The sequence below is a fragment of the Homo sapiens genome, chromosome 22 (genome assembly GCF_000001405.40).
Source record: "Homo sapiens chromosome 22, GRCh38.p14 Primary Assembly".
Lineage (NCBI taxonomy): Eukaryota > Metazoa > Chordata > Mammalia > Primates > Hominidae > Homo > Homo sapiens.
This window is the reverse complement of record NC_000022.11, coordinates 36,583,171-36,598,164: the sequence shown is the minus strand read 5'-3', so window position 1 is coordinate 36,598,164 and position 14,994 is coordinate 36,583,171. Positions and strand designations below refer to the sequence as shown.

Genomic DNA, 14,994 nt, shown 5'->3' with positions numbered 1-14,994 from the left:
TTTTCAGGCAGCCATTACCATTAATTAAAAGGCTCACCATCAATGTGATAATGATGTTTCAGGAGAAAAGAGACACACTGCAGTGAAGTGAACCCGTGAATTATAAGACACATCTCAATTTCAGAAACATTGAAATTTGCATGTGAGCGTCTTAGAATCAAGGAAAATATGGTATATTCAGGGAATCCTCTAGAAGAAATTCTGCCCTTGAGGAGCTTACAGACTTGCAGCTCTTTGTTCCCAAACAACAATACACAAAGAGAATATGACCAAAGCAGCTAAAAGGTGCTTGACAGCCTCGCTACCCAACCCAAAGTGTGGCCCCCGCCACTGGGGCCTGGCAGCGTGGGCACTTCCTGCAAGCTCATGAGAAATACAGAGTCTCAGGCCACTGAGAGTCACCGAATCTGAACCTGGCTTAACGTGATCCCCAGGGGCTTCCCATGCCCATTAAAATGCTGAAAAGCACTGCATAGGAGCGTAGGAGAGGAAAGAGTCTTCCCAGCTAAGGGCAATCAAGAAAGGCCTCCTGAAAGAGGTGCCATTTGAAAGAGAAGAAAAAGAAGGAGGACCTACATTGTTGAGTATCTGTTCTGGGTTAAGAACTGCACTGGGGCCCTTCACTTCTGTTATTTCATCGAGTCTTCAAAGTTAATCCCCTTACCCCCTCGGTGAGGACTGATATTGCCTTCTTACAGCAAAGGAAACTGAGGCACAGAGAGGTCACATAACTTGCTCAAATTCACACAGCTACTAGGTAACAGAGCCAGGCTTAGAAGCCAAATCTTTCTAACTCTGGAGCCCAATCTCCTCCCCCAAATCACATGTGAAGAACTAAAGGGGCCTGGCACAGTGGGTCATGCCTGTAATCCCAGCACTTTGGGAGGCCGAGGTGGGTGGATTACCTGAGGTCATGAGCTCAAGACCAGCCTGGCCAACATGGCGAAACCCCACCTCTACTAAAAATACAAAAAATTCGCCAGGAGTGATGGCTGATGCCTGTAATCCCAGCTACTTGGGAGGCTGAGGCAGGAGAATTGCTTGAACCTGGGAGGCGGAGGTTGCAGTGAGCTGAGATCGTGCCATTGCACTCCTGCCTGAGCAACAGAGAGAGACTCTATCTCAAAACAACAACAACTAAAGAAGGAACTCTGAGTGGCTGAGGAGGGCGGATCGCTTGAGCCCAGGAGTTCAAGAACAGCCTAGGCAACATGGCGAGACCCCATCTCTACAAAAAAAATTCAAAAATTAGCTGGGCACATGCCTGTAGTCACAGCTACCCGGGAGGCTGAGGTGGGAGGATCTCTTGAGCCCAGAAGGTCAAGGCTGCAGCGAGCCATGATCACACCCCTGCACTCCAGCCTGGGCAACAGAGAGAGACCCTGTCTCAAAAAAAAGAACTGAAGAGGTAGCTATGGAGACAAGAGCCAGGACAGGATGCAACTGAAAGTTGGATGAGCAATTGTTCATTGTGGTCAGCTCCTGAGTGCTGGGGACTTCAGTGAAGTGGGAGCTCAGAGCCAATGGAAGGAGCAAATTCATGGCAGGCAGGCAGGACAGACCACTTACTTCATCTCACCCTGCCCAGTGCCTAGCACACAGTAGGCATTCGAAACTACCCACTGAGACTGCCCTCTCCCTTCTTGACCCCTAGCTCTTCCTCCCCTCCCTCCTTCCCAAAAAACAAAAAAAGAAAGAAACTACCCACTGAAAGAATGAATGAACGAACGAGAGAACGATCAAACTCATAGGATGCCACACGTTCTGTTGTTGCAAACCATCCAACCCAAGCTGGTGGCTGCGCTGTGCCCCAGGGGGCTGGGGTTCCAGCCAGAAACAAGCCAGGCATGGCCCACCCTCCCTGAGGCCTCCCGAATCCCTGCCGTCAGGGAGGTATTGCCAGGAAAGCAAAAAGCCAGGAGCAGCAAAGGTTGAAAACACAGAGAAAGCAGCTCCCACTAAACCCTTCCTTTGCTTCACTTAAAAAATTACTCAGACAGCCTCCTCCCCACGCCTCAGCTCGCTCCACCGTGTCCCCTCCTGGCTCCAGAGCTGCTCTTTCAGCTTCTCATGAATATGTGGAAAATAAAACAGAGTCTGTTCAGCCCCTAATGACCAGGTTTATGAGGAGCTTATTGTATCTAAAGAAACAAGACAGCAGTTGGTGTGAGATATTAATGTGCTTTTTACAAAGCTGATGAAACCTCCTCTTAAACTACTTAATACCTGCAAGCTGCAATTCCCAGCCTGACATGGTAAACTCCTTGAGCCAGAGCTGTGCCAGCCCACGGCACAGCCCTTGGCCTTTCCGCCTCAGCGGGGCCTGAACTCACTCAGCCTGGCGGTTGGTGGGGCACTGCCACTCTTCTGGGATGGAGGTTCCATGGAGAGTCATGGTTGTTGAGCCCCTTAGCTGAATAACCCTTTATAGTTCATGGTGGGAGAGTCTTCCCTGCATCCCCTTTCCTCTGGAAGCTCAAAGCCAATGCCTGAGGGGACAGCGGGCAGTGAGACCCCTGCACTCCACTCCAGCCATCACCCACCCTCACCCTCACCCTCACCCACCCAGCCCTCTGATGGGACCAGTCCTTTTGCAAATCTCCAATCCCACCAATTTGTCACGTCTTTGTACCAGCTGACTCCTCACATAGGATCACCCTTCATCCAGTGGTGTGCTGGTACATGTTTAACAATCAGCTCCCTGGGCTGGAGGTGGGGAACTTGGTTTGTAGCATTTGCCGTGGGTTCCCATGGTGTGAATACACCTACCACGGCTGATTTCAAACTGCTAACGAGAGCTGGGAAGACACTGGTGATGAGCTCCCTTGAGCAGGGGCGAGCCGGCCCGCACACTGCTGGCTTCGGGCCCTCTCTCAAGTCCTGTTACTCCCAACTCTGCTCTGGGAAACCTTCTCCCACCCCCAGGGACAGTGTGTTCCCTCCTATGTCCCGCACTATCCTGACTGCTCTTGCTAGAAAGCCCTTCTCAACCCTCCACCACTTCCTCATCACGCCTACACACACAGACACATGCACACACATAGACACACACACACCCATGCACACAGACTCACATACCCATGTACACACAGAGACACACACAAAGACACATGCACACACAGACACATACATGCACACACACACATATGCAGACTTCATCTCACCCTGCCCAGTGAGCACACAGTAGGCATTCAAAACTACCCACATACAGACACAGACACACACAAACACACATGCACACACAGACACACACATGCACACACACACCCATGTACACACAGGCACAGACACACAAACACCCATGCACACACACACACATGCACACACACACACCGATGTACACACACAGACACACATCCATGCACACAAGACACACACACAGACACACACACCCATGCACGCACACACATACGCACACACACCCATGCACACACAGACACACACACATGCACACACACACAGACACACACACAGACACACACGCGGGCATACACGGACCCCTCCCTGCTTCATCAGGCTGACTTCTCCACTTTGTGTCAGCTCAGGCACCTGCTCCTCCTCAGGAGGCCTTTGTCACCCACACACTCCCTCGCCTGGACACACCTTCCATCTGTGTGCCCCAGACACGCTCCACTCTCCTCTGTCATCACACACATCCTCTACACCACAGCGTGTGTTTTCTGTCTGCCATCATAGACTGCAAGTTCCTTGAGGACAGAAAGTATATTTTTCCCCCTCTGTTCTCAGCAGGTTGCATGGAGCGTGGCATACAATTGGTGCTACATAAATGATAGCTGAACAATTGTGCTGCCATAAGGCCTCATACCTCCTTCTAATATAGTATGTGAAGGATTGCACTCTAGTAAGTTCTGTACTATCTGTCTTTGCCCCTAGAATGTGAGCCTGGAAGGCAGAGATGAGATTAGATTTTCCTCTACCATCCCAGTGCCAGGCACTTGGCCCTTAGTCTCTACCACAGGGACAGAGGGTGCCTAGGAATGAAGCTAGTTGGGAGGAAAGTCAGAGATGGAGAGAGGTTCCAGATTTTGGAGCACCTGGATCCATCTGTGCCTGAAGCCATCACAACCCCTGGGGTGGATTACCACCAACCAGAAGGAAATACAATGGAACCCTAGGCTGGCCTTAGGGAAATGAAATCTCATTCATTTCATCACCACTCACCACTCTCCCCTTACTGGAGTGATGTCTGTTGACGTAGATGTCCTATGAAGTTCAAATTTCACCACTAATGCTTGAGTGCTGCTAGTGCCCCCTCCCCTCCTATACCTCTCCCCAGCACCACCATTAATCAGACTGAATCCAGGGCCCACCGAGCTCCAAGTGCTCCTGGAGACCCTGTGCTCCTCCAGCTGACCCTCACAGCCTCATGGCCACCAGAGGCGTTGGGACCAATCGCACAGTGACCTGTATCCCAGTTTACCCCATCACTCCTCCCTACTCATCACTTGTCCCTCAGGGCTGTGTGTCCTCTGATCTGGCTGGATCTCTAACTCCCCCGCCCTCCTAAATCCTTGCCATGGCACCTTCTAGAATTTAGGTCACAGTGCCAGCAGAATCCCCCCATTCTGTCCTTGCTCTAATGGAAATCTGGCTTTCCCCGAAGGACACCACCGCCCCTGCAAACTCTCACTGTCGAGAGTGTTTTACTGCTCACATCCCAGGCCTCCCTGGGCCTCATCGACATTTCCGGTCCATTTCCCTGCCTCCTCCCTAAACTCCCTGCCTCTGTGAAACACATCCCAGCCTACCTGTCCGACTCCCTCATGGCCGCCGCCATTCAGTCTTTGGGGAGCTGAGCGCTGGCTCACTGCCTTTGCCTCCAATGCTGCTCCCGTTATCATCCTTGCAGATTCCACAACCAGGAAATCAGCCCCTCCAGTCCCTGGCCGTGACCCCTTCACTCCAACCTGATGTGCCGGTGCTGCCTCACTGGTTGTTAAATATTGAAATACTGTTGTACCGATCAGTCTTACTATGTCAGGGAAGCTGGCTGGGGGAAGGGGTGGCTCCTGCATTGGGCGGGGCAGAGAGAAGAGAAGGGCTGGGACCAAGGCTCCATCTCCTCTCCTCGCTCCCCAAGGCTGGGTTAAGGACTCAGCTCTGTTCTCAGGTTCTATAAACTCCAAGGCCCGCCCCAAGGATGGGGGCAAGAGAAGAAGAGTCTCCCTACTGGTCCTGACTGGTGGGACTGGGCTGGGCTGGGCGCACACCACTGCCCTGCCGATGAGAGCCTCTACCCCTCTCACAGCCTCCCACTACCTTCCCATTCCCGGCCCTGACCTCCTGGGGCTGCTGGGCACAGAGAGGTCCTCTAGTCGAACCGTAGAGGACAACTTAGGAGAAGATTCTGCACTCGCCGAGGTGGAATGACCCTTACTCTAACAGGGAAGCTTGGGGAGCATCTGGTGTGGTTTCCTGTGTCAAAGCATGGTCCAGTCAAGCCATCATTTAGCTCATAACAGCCTCATCATCAAAAGATCACACCACTCATTTCTAAAAACCAATCGGTGATTTGGGGCTTATTAGAATAATTTGATGAATCATTTGCACTTCAAATTTTAACCGGGTAGGCAGTTTCTTAATATATACTCGATGTATATAGAAAACAACAGCGAATGTTGTAGTTTTGCCTTATCTATTAATTTGTGTGACCTTTCCAGTGCATACTTGAAGATCATCCCTACCTCTGCCTGCCCCAAGCCACCTCATTCGGGGTCTTACCCTTGCCCTTGGCATTTCCAATATCCACACCCCCTCCACTCTCTGTCTTTTGCATCCCACTCTCTGGCTACCACGTGCCACCGTTGCAGCTCACTCCCATGCACCCCCATTTCAACAATGCTTTGACCCCACCCCAACCCCAGGCTCAAAAGCATTGACTGCCCTCCCCGCTCCACCCCCCACCCCCGCCTTTGCACTGCCTCACTTGCCCTTCAGGACCTCATTTCCCTGTTTACCCAGCTTAGACTCCATATCCATCCTCATAATCCCTCCCATTCCACCCTCTCCCTGTTGCACTCACCTCACAAACCTCCTCCTGGTTAGACGCAACTCTCCAGCTAACTGCACCCATGCCACAAATGTGGCCAGAGAAAACCACAGAATCTCAGAAGTGACCTTCAAGCCACTGACACACACACTTCACAGCCTGGTCCACTGTCTCCCACTCTCGCTTCCCTTCCCCTGTCCTCCCGTCCCCAACCCTTCCTCACTCTCAGTTGATGATCCTGCTTCCCATTTCGTTGGGAAAATAGAAGCAACAGAAGAGAAGTGTTACACCCTCCCACCATGTCTGCCCATCCCCAGCACTGCACCCACGAGCTCTGCTGTCCCTCCTGGCACAGCACCACCCCCCTTGTGCTGTGTCCTGGGCCTCATCTCCTTGCACAGTGCACCTGTATTGCTCCCCCATCTCTGCAGGTCATCCCTTCTGTCCTCCTTTCTTTTACTTTTTTATTTTGATTTTATTTTCAAGACAGAGTCTTGCTCTGTCACCAGACTGGAGTGCAGTGGTGCTATCCTAGCTCACTGCAGCCTCGAACACCTGGGTTCAAGGGATCCTCCTGCCTCAGACTCCCAAGTAAGCTAGGACCACAGACACATACCACCACATCTGGCTAATTTGTTTTTATTTTTTGTAGATATAGGGTCTTGCTATGTTGCCCAGGCTGGTCTTGAACTGCTGGGTTCAAGGGATCCTCCTGCCTCAGCTTCCTAAAGCTAAGGCTGAGCCACTGCCCCCAGCCCCTCCCTTCTTCCCTCTCTACTAGAACATTCCCACTAGTATCATACAGGCTTTAATATCTCCCCCCTTAGGCCGGGCGCGGTGGCTCACGCCTGTAATCCCAGCACTTTGGGAGGCCGAAGCAGGCGGATCACGAGGTCAGGAGATCGAGACCACAGTGAAACCCCGTCTCTACAAATAATACAAAAAAAAAAATTAGCCGGGCGTAGTGGCGGGCGCCTGTAGTTCCAGCTACTCTGGAGGCTGAGGCAGGAGAATGGCGTGAACCCGGGAGGCGGAGCTTGCAGTGAGCCGAGATTGTGCCACTGCACTCCAGCCTGGGTGACAGAGCAAGACACCGTCTCAAAAAAAAAAAATATATCTCCCCCCAACATAGAGCAGCCAGCACTAGCCAGCTAGTGGAGGACACCCCAGTAGCACAGTGCAGGGAGGCAGAAGGAGGTTAGGAGAAAGAGGCAACAGAGGACGTGGTGGGAGTTCAGGCAGCAGGACCAGCATGCATGTGCCACGGTCCTGAGGTAGGAGGGAGCATGGCAGGAAAGAAGGCAGAGATGCACAGGGAGGGAGGAGGTGGGTGGGAGGTGAGGCCAGATGTGGAGGTTGGGGGTCAGGCTTTGTTAGAGATGTTGAGCTTTTCCCCGACAGCACTGGGAAGCTGGAGTGTTTCCGAGCTGGAGGTGGCATGATCAGATTTGCATGTACAAAGGATCACTGTCATAGCTCTGTAGAGAAGGATAAGAGTGGGTGCAAACTGATGAGTGGGGAGGCCGCGGCAGCCATCCAGGGAGCAGGGATGGTGGCCTGGTAGTGGGCGGTGCTGTCTCAGAGACATCAGGCAAGTTTGAGACACTAAGGATCTAATACAGACAGGACGCCCTGATGGATGGAGCCTGCAGGGAGGAGGAAGAGATAGATGTCAGCGCTGACAACTAGGCTCAGGCTTACACAAGGGAACCCTGGAGAAGCATTCGCCAAGCTAACTGGGGCCTCCAGAGTGCCAGGCTAGAGGGAAAGATCAGGAGTTCATGTTCAGTGCCTTTAAAACATCCACCAGGAGATGTCAAATAGGCAGCTGGATACCCAGGTCCAGGCCTCAAGGAGAGGTCTGGGCCACTGATTATCTCGCACGGCCTCTCTGTTAGCATCTCCTGAACCCTGCTTCTGTGCCAGGCACTGCGCTAGGAGCCAATGGTCCAAGGATGAGTGAAGCCCAGGCTTGCACACAAGGAGCAACTAGGCTCCCCGTAGAATGTGAGCTCCTGTTCCTGCGGGGAACAGGAGCGGGTGTGGCCCACCAGGATGCAGCTGGGGCCCTGCTGGGTGAAGCTCTGTCCTCAATTTGTGGGACGCCTCAGGGCATGTCAGTACTGCTCTCTGAGCCTCACTCCTGCACAGATTCTTTATAAAGATGCCTGGCACCGGCTTGCTGAAATATTTGTCAGATTGAATTGAAAGAAAATGAGAGTGCTTTGCGAAGTGCTTTTCAAATACACTGATTTGTAATTTTAACAATAGGGAGAATTTGTTATCCTCTTAGCAGCTGGTATGAAGACTTTTCCCACAGAGAAGGGTGCATGGTTGGATTAGGAAAACAAGGTACTAGGGAGGGGACAAGGCTTCCTTTTAACACCCCAAGATGCAGGAGGGCAGAGGGGCCATGACACGATGGGGGTGGGGACAGCAAAAAGCAGGGAACCCAAAACACTCAGAGAAGACACCTGTCCATGGGACCATTTTGAGTGGCCCTACCAAGCTTCAGTGAAGCGACCAGAAGTCCCGATATGGTCTGGGGAATTGTTTTTCTTGTAGAACTCAAGAAAGTTAGTGAATTTGGTACAGGGATAGCTCATGTGTGAAAGGGAGTTACAGAGATTCCTCTTTTCCATTATATGCAGCATATAATCATAGCCAGAAGTTCCTAAAATGCTTATATTCCTACGTAGTACGTAAGTATCCCTGTATACTATATACCTGTGTACTATTAGGTTGATGCAAAAGTAATTACGGTTTCACTATTACTTTTGATGGCAAAAACCACAGTTGCTTTTGCACCAACCTAATATATAGGTCTATTTTATACACACACACACATATATATATATATGTCTAGGCTGGGCACAGTGGATTATGCCTGTAATCCCAGCACTTTGGGAGGCCAAGGCAGGCAGATCACTTGAAGTCAGGAGTGGGGGACCAGCCTGGCCAACATGGTGAAACCCCATCTCTACTAAAATACAAAAATTAGCTGGGCATGTTGGTATGTGCCTGTAATCCCAGCTACTCAGGAGGCTGACGCAGGAGAATCACTTGAACTTGGGAGTTGGAGGTTGCCGTGAGCCGAGATCACACCACTGCACTCAAGCCTGGGTGACAGAGTGAGACTCCATTTCAGGGGGAAAAAAAAAAAAAAAAGGTATATGTAATAATACCGTAAAATTCCTAATTAATATCTATGACACATACTAGAATCTGCCCCTATTTTATAAGACATAGTCTCAGGACTGTAGAAGAAAATCATTGCCAACATGTATTGAGGGCTGTATTAATTAGGTCACAGTAGCTACTATGTTGGTGGCTGGACACAGTCAAATTTCATTTCTGTCTCACGTCAATGCCCCCAAGGACTTCCTAAATGTGTCAGGCACTGTTCTGACTACTCAACATGCATCAGCTCAGTGAACCTCCACGACAATCTGCCAGGGAAGAATTCTTGTTATCGCCACTCTCAGGTGAGGACACTGAGTGATGCACAGCTGGACCCAGGCAGTCTGGCTGTGCAACCTGCATCTTACCCACTGTGCATACGCCCCAGCATACACCCAATCTTTCTTCCATTCAGAGAAGGTTAAAGGACATTCACTGTGCCTATGCTGGTGCTGGAGATAAGACAGTGAATGAAACAAAGTCTCTGCTGTCAGGAAGCCGATGCTCTGGTGATTGTAGAGTCTGTGCTACTTATCGGTTTTTAGAAAGGCCACATTCAAGAGTTCACGTGCTCATCAGTGAACACTGGGGAGGACCTGCCTGTGACACTGTGCTGGGATTTGCCCCAGGCCAGTTCTCACCTTCCCAGCAGGCACCGAGGAAACATTTAGAGTCAAAAGATCCTAGTTTCAGCCCTGATTCCGTCATTTCCTAGCCACAAGCACTTGCTCAGATAGTTCAGCCTTTCTGAGCCTCAGTTTCCTCATCTATACAATGAGGATGATAATACCCCCCTCACAGGCCTGTGGTGGAACCAAAATGAGCTGTAGTTCAAAACCCAAAAGTCCAGCCCCCAGGGGGCTCAACTTCCTCCCCACCCCCATATTTATTTCAGAGCAGTTGGCGGCTGGGTTTGGTGAATTCCGTGCGGAATTGCAGATGGGAAAGTGTTTTGCAGGCTCTTCTAAAGGGCTGTGGCAGCATCTGGCAGCACCAGTGCGGGGTGTGTCCCCTTTAGAAAGTGATCTGCTACTTTCTCACATGTAAAATGCAGGATGACTCCCAGCTATGCTGGGGCACAGAGACGGGCTGAGGAGCATTCATCGGCCTCCTGCGTGGCAGTCCCCAGCTCGGAATCAAACCTCCACTGCTGCCAAGCCTCCGCTAATCCTCAGAAGCTTCAGTGCAGGGACAGAAGGCAGCGTTTTGAAGTCGTCGGCTTTAGATCCTCTCTGCAGTACTGCGGGTGTGTGTGTTGTGATTCACCAGGCAGATGTCCAAACGGACAAAGCGAAACCTTCCTTCAGGGGTGAGGGAGAGGGCTGAGTGAGTTTCCAAAGAGCCAGAAGTTGGGAAGAGGCAGGTGGGCCCTAAGCGCCCCCAAAACTATGATGTTTCATGTGCTCCTTCTCCCCTTGTTTTGCAGGGAATTTCAAAGGTCTGTGCAAGCAAATTGATCACTTCCCAGAGGATGCAGATTACGAAGCTGACACAGCAGAATATTTCCTCCGTGAGTGCACACGATTGTTTTTATCTCCCTCCTGGTGGTGGGCCCTGCCCTTCCATCCTTCACAGAGTCAAGGACCAGGCCTACCTAGAGGCCCTCATCACAGCAGAGGGCAGGAAAAAGCTAAGCCTCTCTCCTTTCCGGAGTACAGACCTTCATATGTGCTGTTCCCTCTGCCTGCAATGCCCTTCCCTGCCCGTCTTTGTCTGGCAAACTCCTACTCAGTCGACCTCCAGGTCTCAGCTAAAACATCACCTTCTCCAGGAAGTCCTTCCTGCCTTCTGCATGAGTTCCTAGAGGACGGTACTTTATCATGCTGTAGGGTCCTTGGCTATTTGAGTAACCATCTCCCAACTCTGCTAGGGTATGGACTCACCCTAGCATTCACCATTATATTCTCAGCCCAGTGCTTGGCATGTGATAAGCACTCAGTGAATATTTCTTGAATAATTGGATGAAGTAACCCACCAGGCAGTGCCAGATTGGAACTTCTAATGAAAAAAAAAAAAAGAGAGAGATTTTTTCTTCCCCCGCAAGTCAAGTAAGTCAAAGTTAAATCCTGATGTAACAGCTGCAATCTTAAATCCACCTGAGACATATTATCAAGAGAAAGCATTCTGAGGCTCCAAGGAAATGTCTCAAGTATCAGCAAAAACTAACAAGGCTACCTATTCCCTGAGAAAGGGATTTCCAAGAGAGGGGCTGAGAGTCCTTGAGGCCTGGGACAGCAAAGCCGAGGTTCTCAGGCCATCTCTTTGGAAGGAGGTTTGCTCTCCTCCCAGGAGCAACCCCGCCTCTGCTCCAGGCCCTGCCACCTCCCCTTCCCAACAGCACAAGGACTGCCATTGCCCTCAGATCACTTTTATGAAGCATGTAGGAGGCATTTTATTATATAGATTGCCCCTGTCTCTTTCAATAATTACTTCTCACATCAAGCCCAGCTCTCAGGTCAGCCTGGAATCTGGTTTCATTGAAAAGCCCGTGGAATGTAAAGTCAGCCAGGCAGCTGGGAAGAAAGAGGGAGGGAACACGATGCAATTTTTAGATTCTTTTTTTTAAAGGAAAAAATATCATACCCTGCTCTTCATTTCCTTTTATGAATTCCTTCAAGACGTTGCTCTTAACTGGAATTCCTAAAAGGCCATTTGGTTGTGGTTACCTGTTACCTGCGACTGTGTCTGGGGTGGGGCTGCAGGAGCCCAGCTGTGCGGTAAACGTGGGTTGAGCTCCTTCTGTGTGCTGGATCCTGTGCTCCGTGCTGGGGAGGCCAAGATGGATGGGGCCTGCCCCCAAGAAGAGCACAGCCTGGCAGGGAGGGCCCTTGGAAAAACAGCTCAACTTGGGAGACACAGCATGGCAGAGGTGAGGCCTGAATGTAGAAGGGGGAAGCCAGCAGGCAAAGCCAAGCCCCACACTGGGAGCCACATTCCCGGAGCACAAGGCTCACCAGGTGGAGCTCGAATGATGTCATGCTTTATCTGCTAGGCAGTAAGTGCCTGGGGGCAGAAAACTTGTCTCATTCATTGCTGCCCTTATAACAGCTCAATGAATGCTTTTTGTTAAGAAGAGATAGAGGATTCTTCAGTAGCAATTCCTAACAACTCAATGCCTCCATTTCCTTGTTTTTAAGAAAGAAGAGCATAGAGCATAGAGTATTTGGTTCATTTTGGTGTCCCTGGACAAAAGACTTGGACTCAGATTGGCAACGACAGGATTCTGAAGGTCTGATTTGAGTTGACTTAATCCAACAATATTTTTTGAACACCTGTAGCAGGGGTCGGCAAACTTTTTCTGTAAAGAATCAGATGTTGAATATTTTAGGCTTTGTGGGCCATGCAATCTCTGTCCCATTTACCCAACTCTGCTCTTGTGGCCACTGACAATATGGAGGCATATGTGTGGCTGTGTTACAGTGAAACTTAACTTGATTTACACAACCAGGCAGCAGGCTTCATTTGGTATAGTTTGCTGACCCCTGGTCTATAAAATGCTAGTCCTGGGCCGGAAAACAAAAATAATTCTTTAAAGCTGGAAGACGCAAGTTTCTATCATTCTCTACGAAGTTCTAACCTAGATCTTGAGAGAAGCTGGAAGACGGGGATGATTTTTCTAGAAGGATCCCCTGCCCCCAGTCCCTACCCCCGCTTCTGATTCAGAAGCTCCTCTGGGGCCTCCCTGGCACCCTGCATGTGTCTACAATTCAACCCCGACCACACTTTGCTGCAATGTCACTGGTTCACACTCGGGATCCCCAAGAGACTATGAGCTTCTTGAAGGCAGAGCTATGTCCCATTCATTTCTGCACCCCAAGCACCCAGAAAAGGCCATGGCAGGGAATTTGACCCAAAAAAGCACTTTGATGACTGAGCAATGAAGTGACTGGGTGGGTGAATATGTGAACACTCAAGTAAATCATGGTCTAATGCCCCGAGATCAATGCAAGCAACAGGCTTCCAGAGGAAAACAGCTGGGCCCCCATTCGCCAGAAGTAGGCAGGTGGCTCCCAGAGGTGGGCAGAGCTTAGGCTGAAGGAGGCGGGCTGAGCTGCACCTGGGGTGGAGAGGGCCTGAGTCCACTCCTAGTTAAGGTCTGTCAAACCCATCTGCACCGCTCATCTGCCGCAGGGGAGGCTGTGAGGGGGCAGAAGCAGCTCCTCTCCCTGAGGGCTAGCCATCTGGAGGGAGACCTACAGACCTAATGTTTATGCTGCATGCTGGAATAGAAGGAATCGTGTGGTGCTGAGGGAACCTGTCCCCTAACCCAGACCAGAGGAGGTCCTTCCATAAGAGTTCCCTAGAGAAGGTGGCACCAGAGCCAATTCATTCATTCATTCACTCGAGAGATATTTACTAAGCACTCACTGAGTGCCAGCACTATTGTCAGTCCTGGGGATCCAAGAGTGAACCAAATAAAGAGGGCCAGTGCCTTCGTGAAGGTTACATCCTAGTGTAAGAAACAAGTAATAAACAAGTGTGAAACACCCTGTCCCTGCCCTCTGCACCCTGAGATAGTTTTGTTGTTGTTGTTGTTGCTGTATCTTGCTCTTTCATCCAGGCTGGAGTGCAAGTAATGCCAAACCTCTGCTTCCCGGGTTCAAGCGATTCTCCTGCCTCAGCCTCCCGAGTAGCTGGGATTACATGCATGCGCCACCATGCCTGGCTAATTTTTTTGTATTTTTAGTAAAGATGGGGTTTCACCATGTTAGCCTGGCTGGTCTTAAATTCCTGGCCTCAGGTGATCCGCCTGCCTCAGCCTGCCAAAGTGCTGGGATTACAGGCGTGAGCCACCACGCCCGGCCCCAGCTGAGATAGTTTCTGAGTGGTCTGGGAGGGGTTGGAGAGTGGAGAGTGATGGGGGAGGGGCCAGTGGGTCCTGAGGGCATGTCACTTAGATAAGGTGGTCCCAAAGTTTCCCTGAGTAAAGAAAGGGAACCAGGTAAGAAGATTTCTGGGGAAGAGAGTAGCTGATGGAGAGAATAGCAAGAGCAAAGTCCTTAAAGCAGGCACAGAGCATCATGTTTGAGGATCAGAGGGGTAGCTGGTCTTGCAGGAGCCCAGTGCAGGGGTGGAGTGGGGTCCTACAGCAGAGACAGCAGAGGAACCCAGTCATGTGGGCCTGGGACCAGGGGGAGACCTCAGCTCTCATTCTAAGTGTGATGGGAATGACCGATTTAGACACATCAGCCTGGCTGCTGTGGTAGTGACGGTTGGAAACAGAGGCAGGGAGCCCAGGATGGGGGAGAGGGGGCAACCAGAGTGTAGCCATGGTGATGGTGAGAAGGAAGGAGATGTTTGGGAGACAGAGCTGACAGCAGCAGGGGTGGCCACTGATGGGGCATGGGCCATGGGGCAGGGAACAGATTTCAGGATAGGGACGGAAGTGAAAGGAGAGGGAAGGAGCAGTCAAGCAACTCTTCTTTCTCCCCAAAAAGCAGATTCCAACCCATGTAGAGCATCTCCTAAGGGACTTGGGGCTTGTTTTCCAGGTTCCCAAATAGCTCCTCAATTAATTCTTTTTTTTTTTTCTTTTTTTTTTGAGACGGAATCTTGCTCTGTCACCCAGGCTGGAGTGCAGTGGTACAATCTTGGCTCACTGCAACCTCTGCCTCCTGGGTTCAAGCAATTCTCCTGCCTCAGCCTCCTGAGTAGCTGGGATTACAGGCACCCGCCACCACATCTGGCTAATTTTTGTATTTTTAGTAGAGACGGGATTTTGCCATGTTGACCAGGTTGGTCTCGAATTCCTGACCTCAGGTGATCTGCCCACCTCAGCCTCCCAAAGTGCTGCGAATAGGTGT

The 14,994-nt window shown here is 50.9% G+C and overlaps 1 protein-coding gene across 3 annotated transcripts in view; it reads left to right on the top strand.

Moving 5' to 3' along the window:
- Window positions 1–14,994, top strand: part of CACNG2 (calcium voltage-gated channel auxiliary subunit gamma 2) — a 142,896-nt gene that overhangs the window by 105,588 nt on the left and 22,314 nt on the right. For all 3 annotated transcript variants that reach the window (NR_166440.1, NM_001379051.1, NM_006078.5), the window contains one exon: window positions 10,617–10,700. Coding sequence is in view for 2 of the 3 variants with exons in the window: in NM_001379051.1 (NP_001365980.1) it covers window positions 10,617–10,700 (84 nt within the window). In the remaining variant the exon portion in view is untranslated. The remainder of the gene's footprint in view (window positions 1–10,616; window positions 10,701–14,994) is intronic.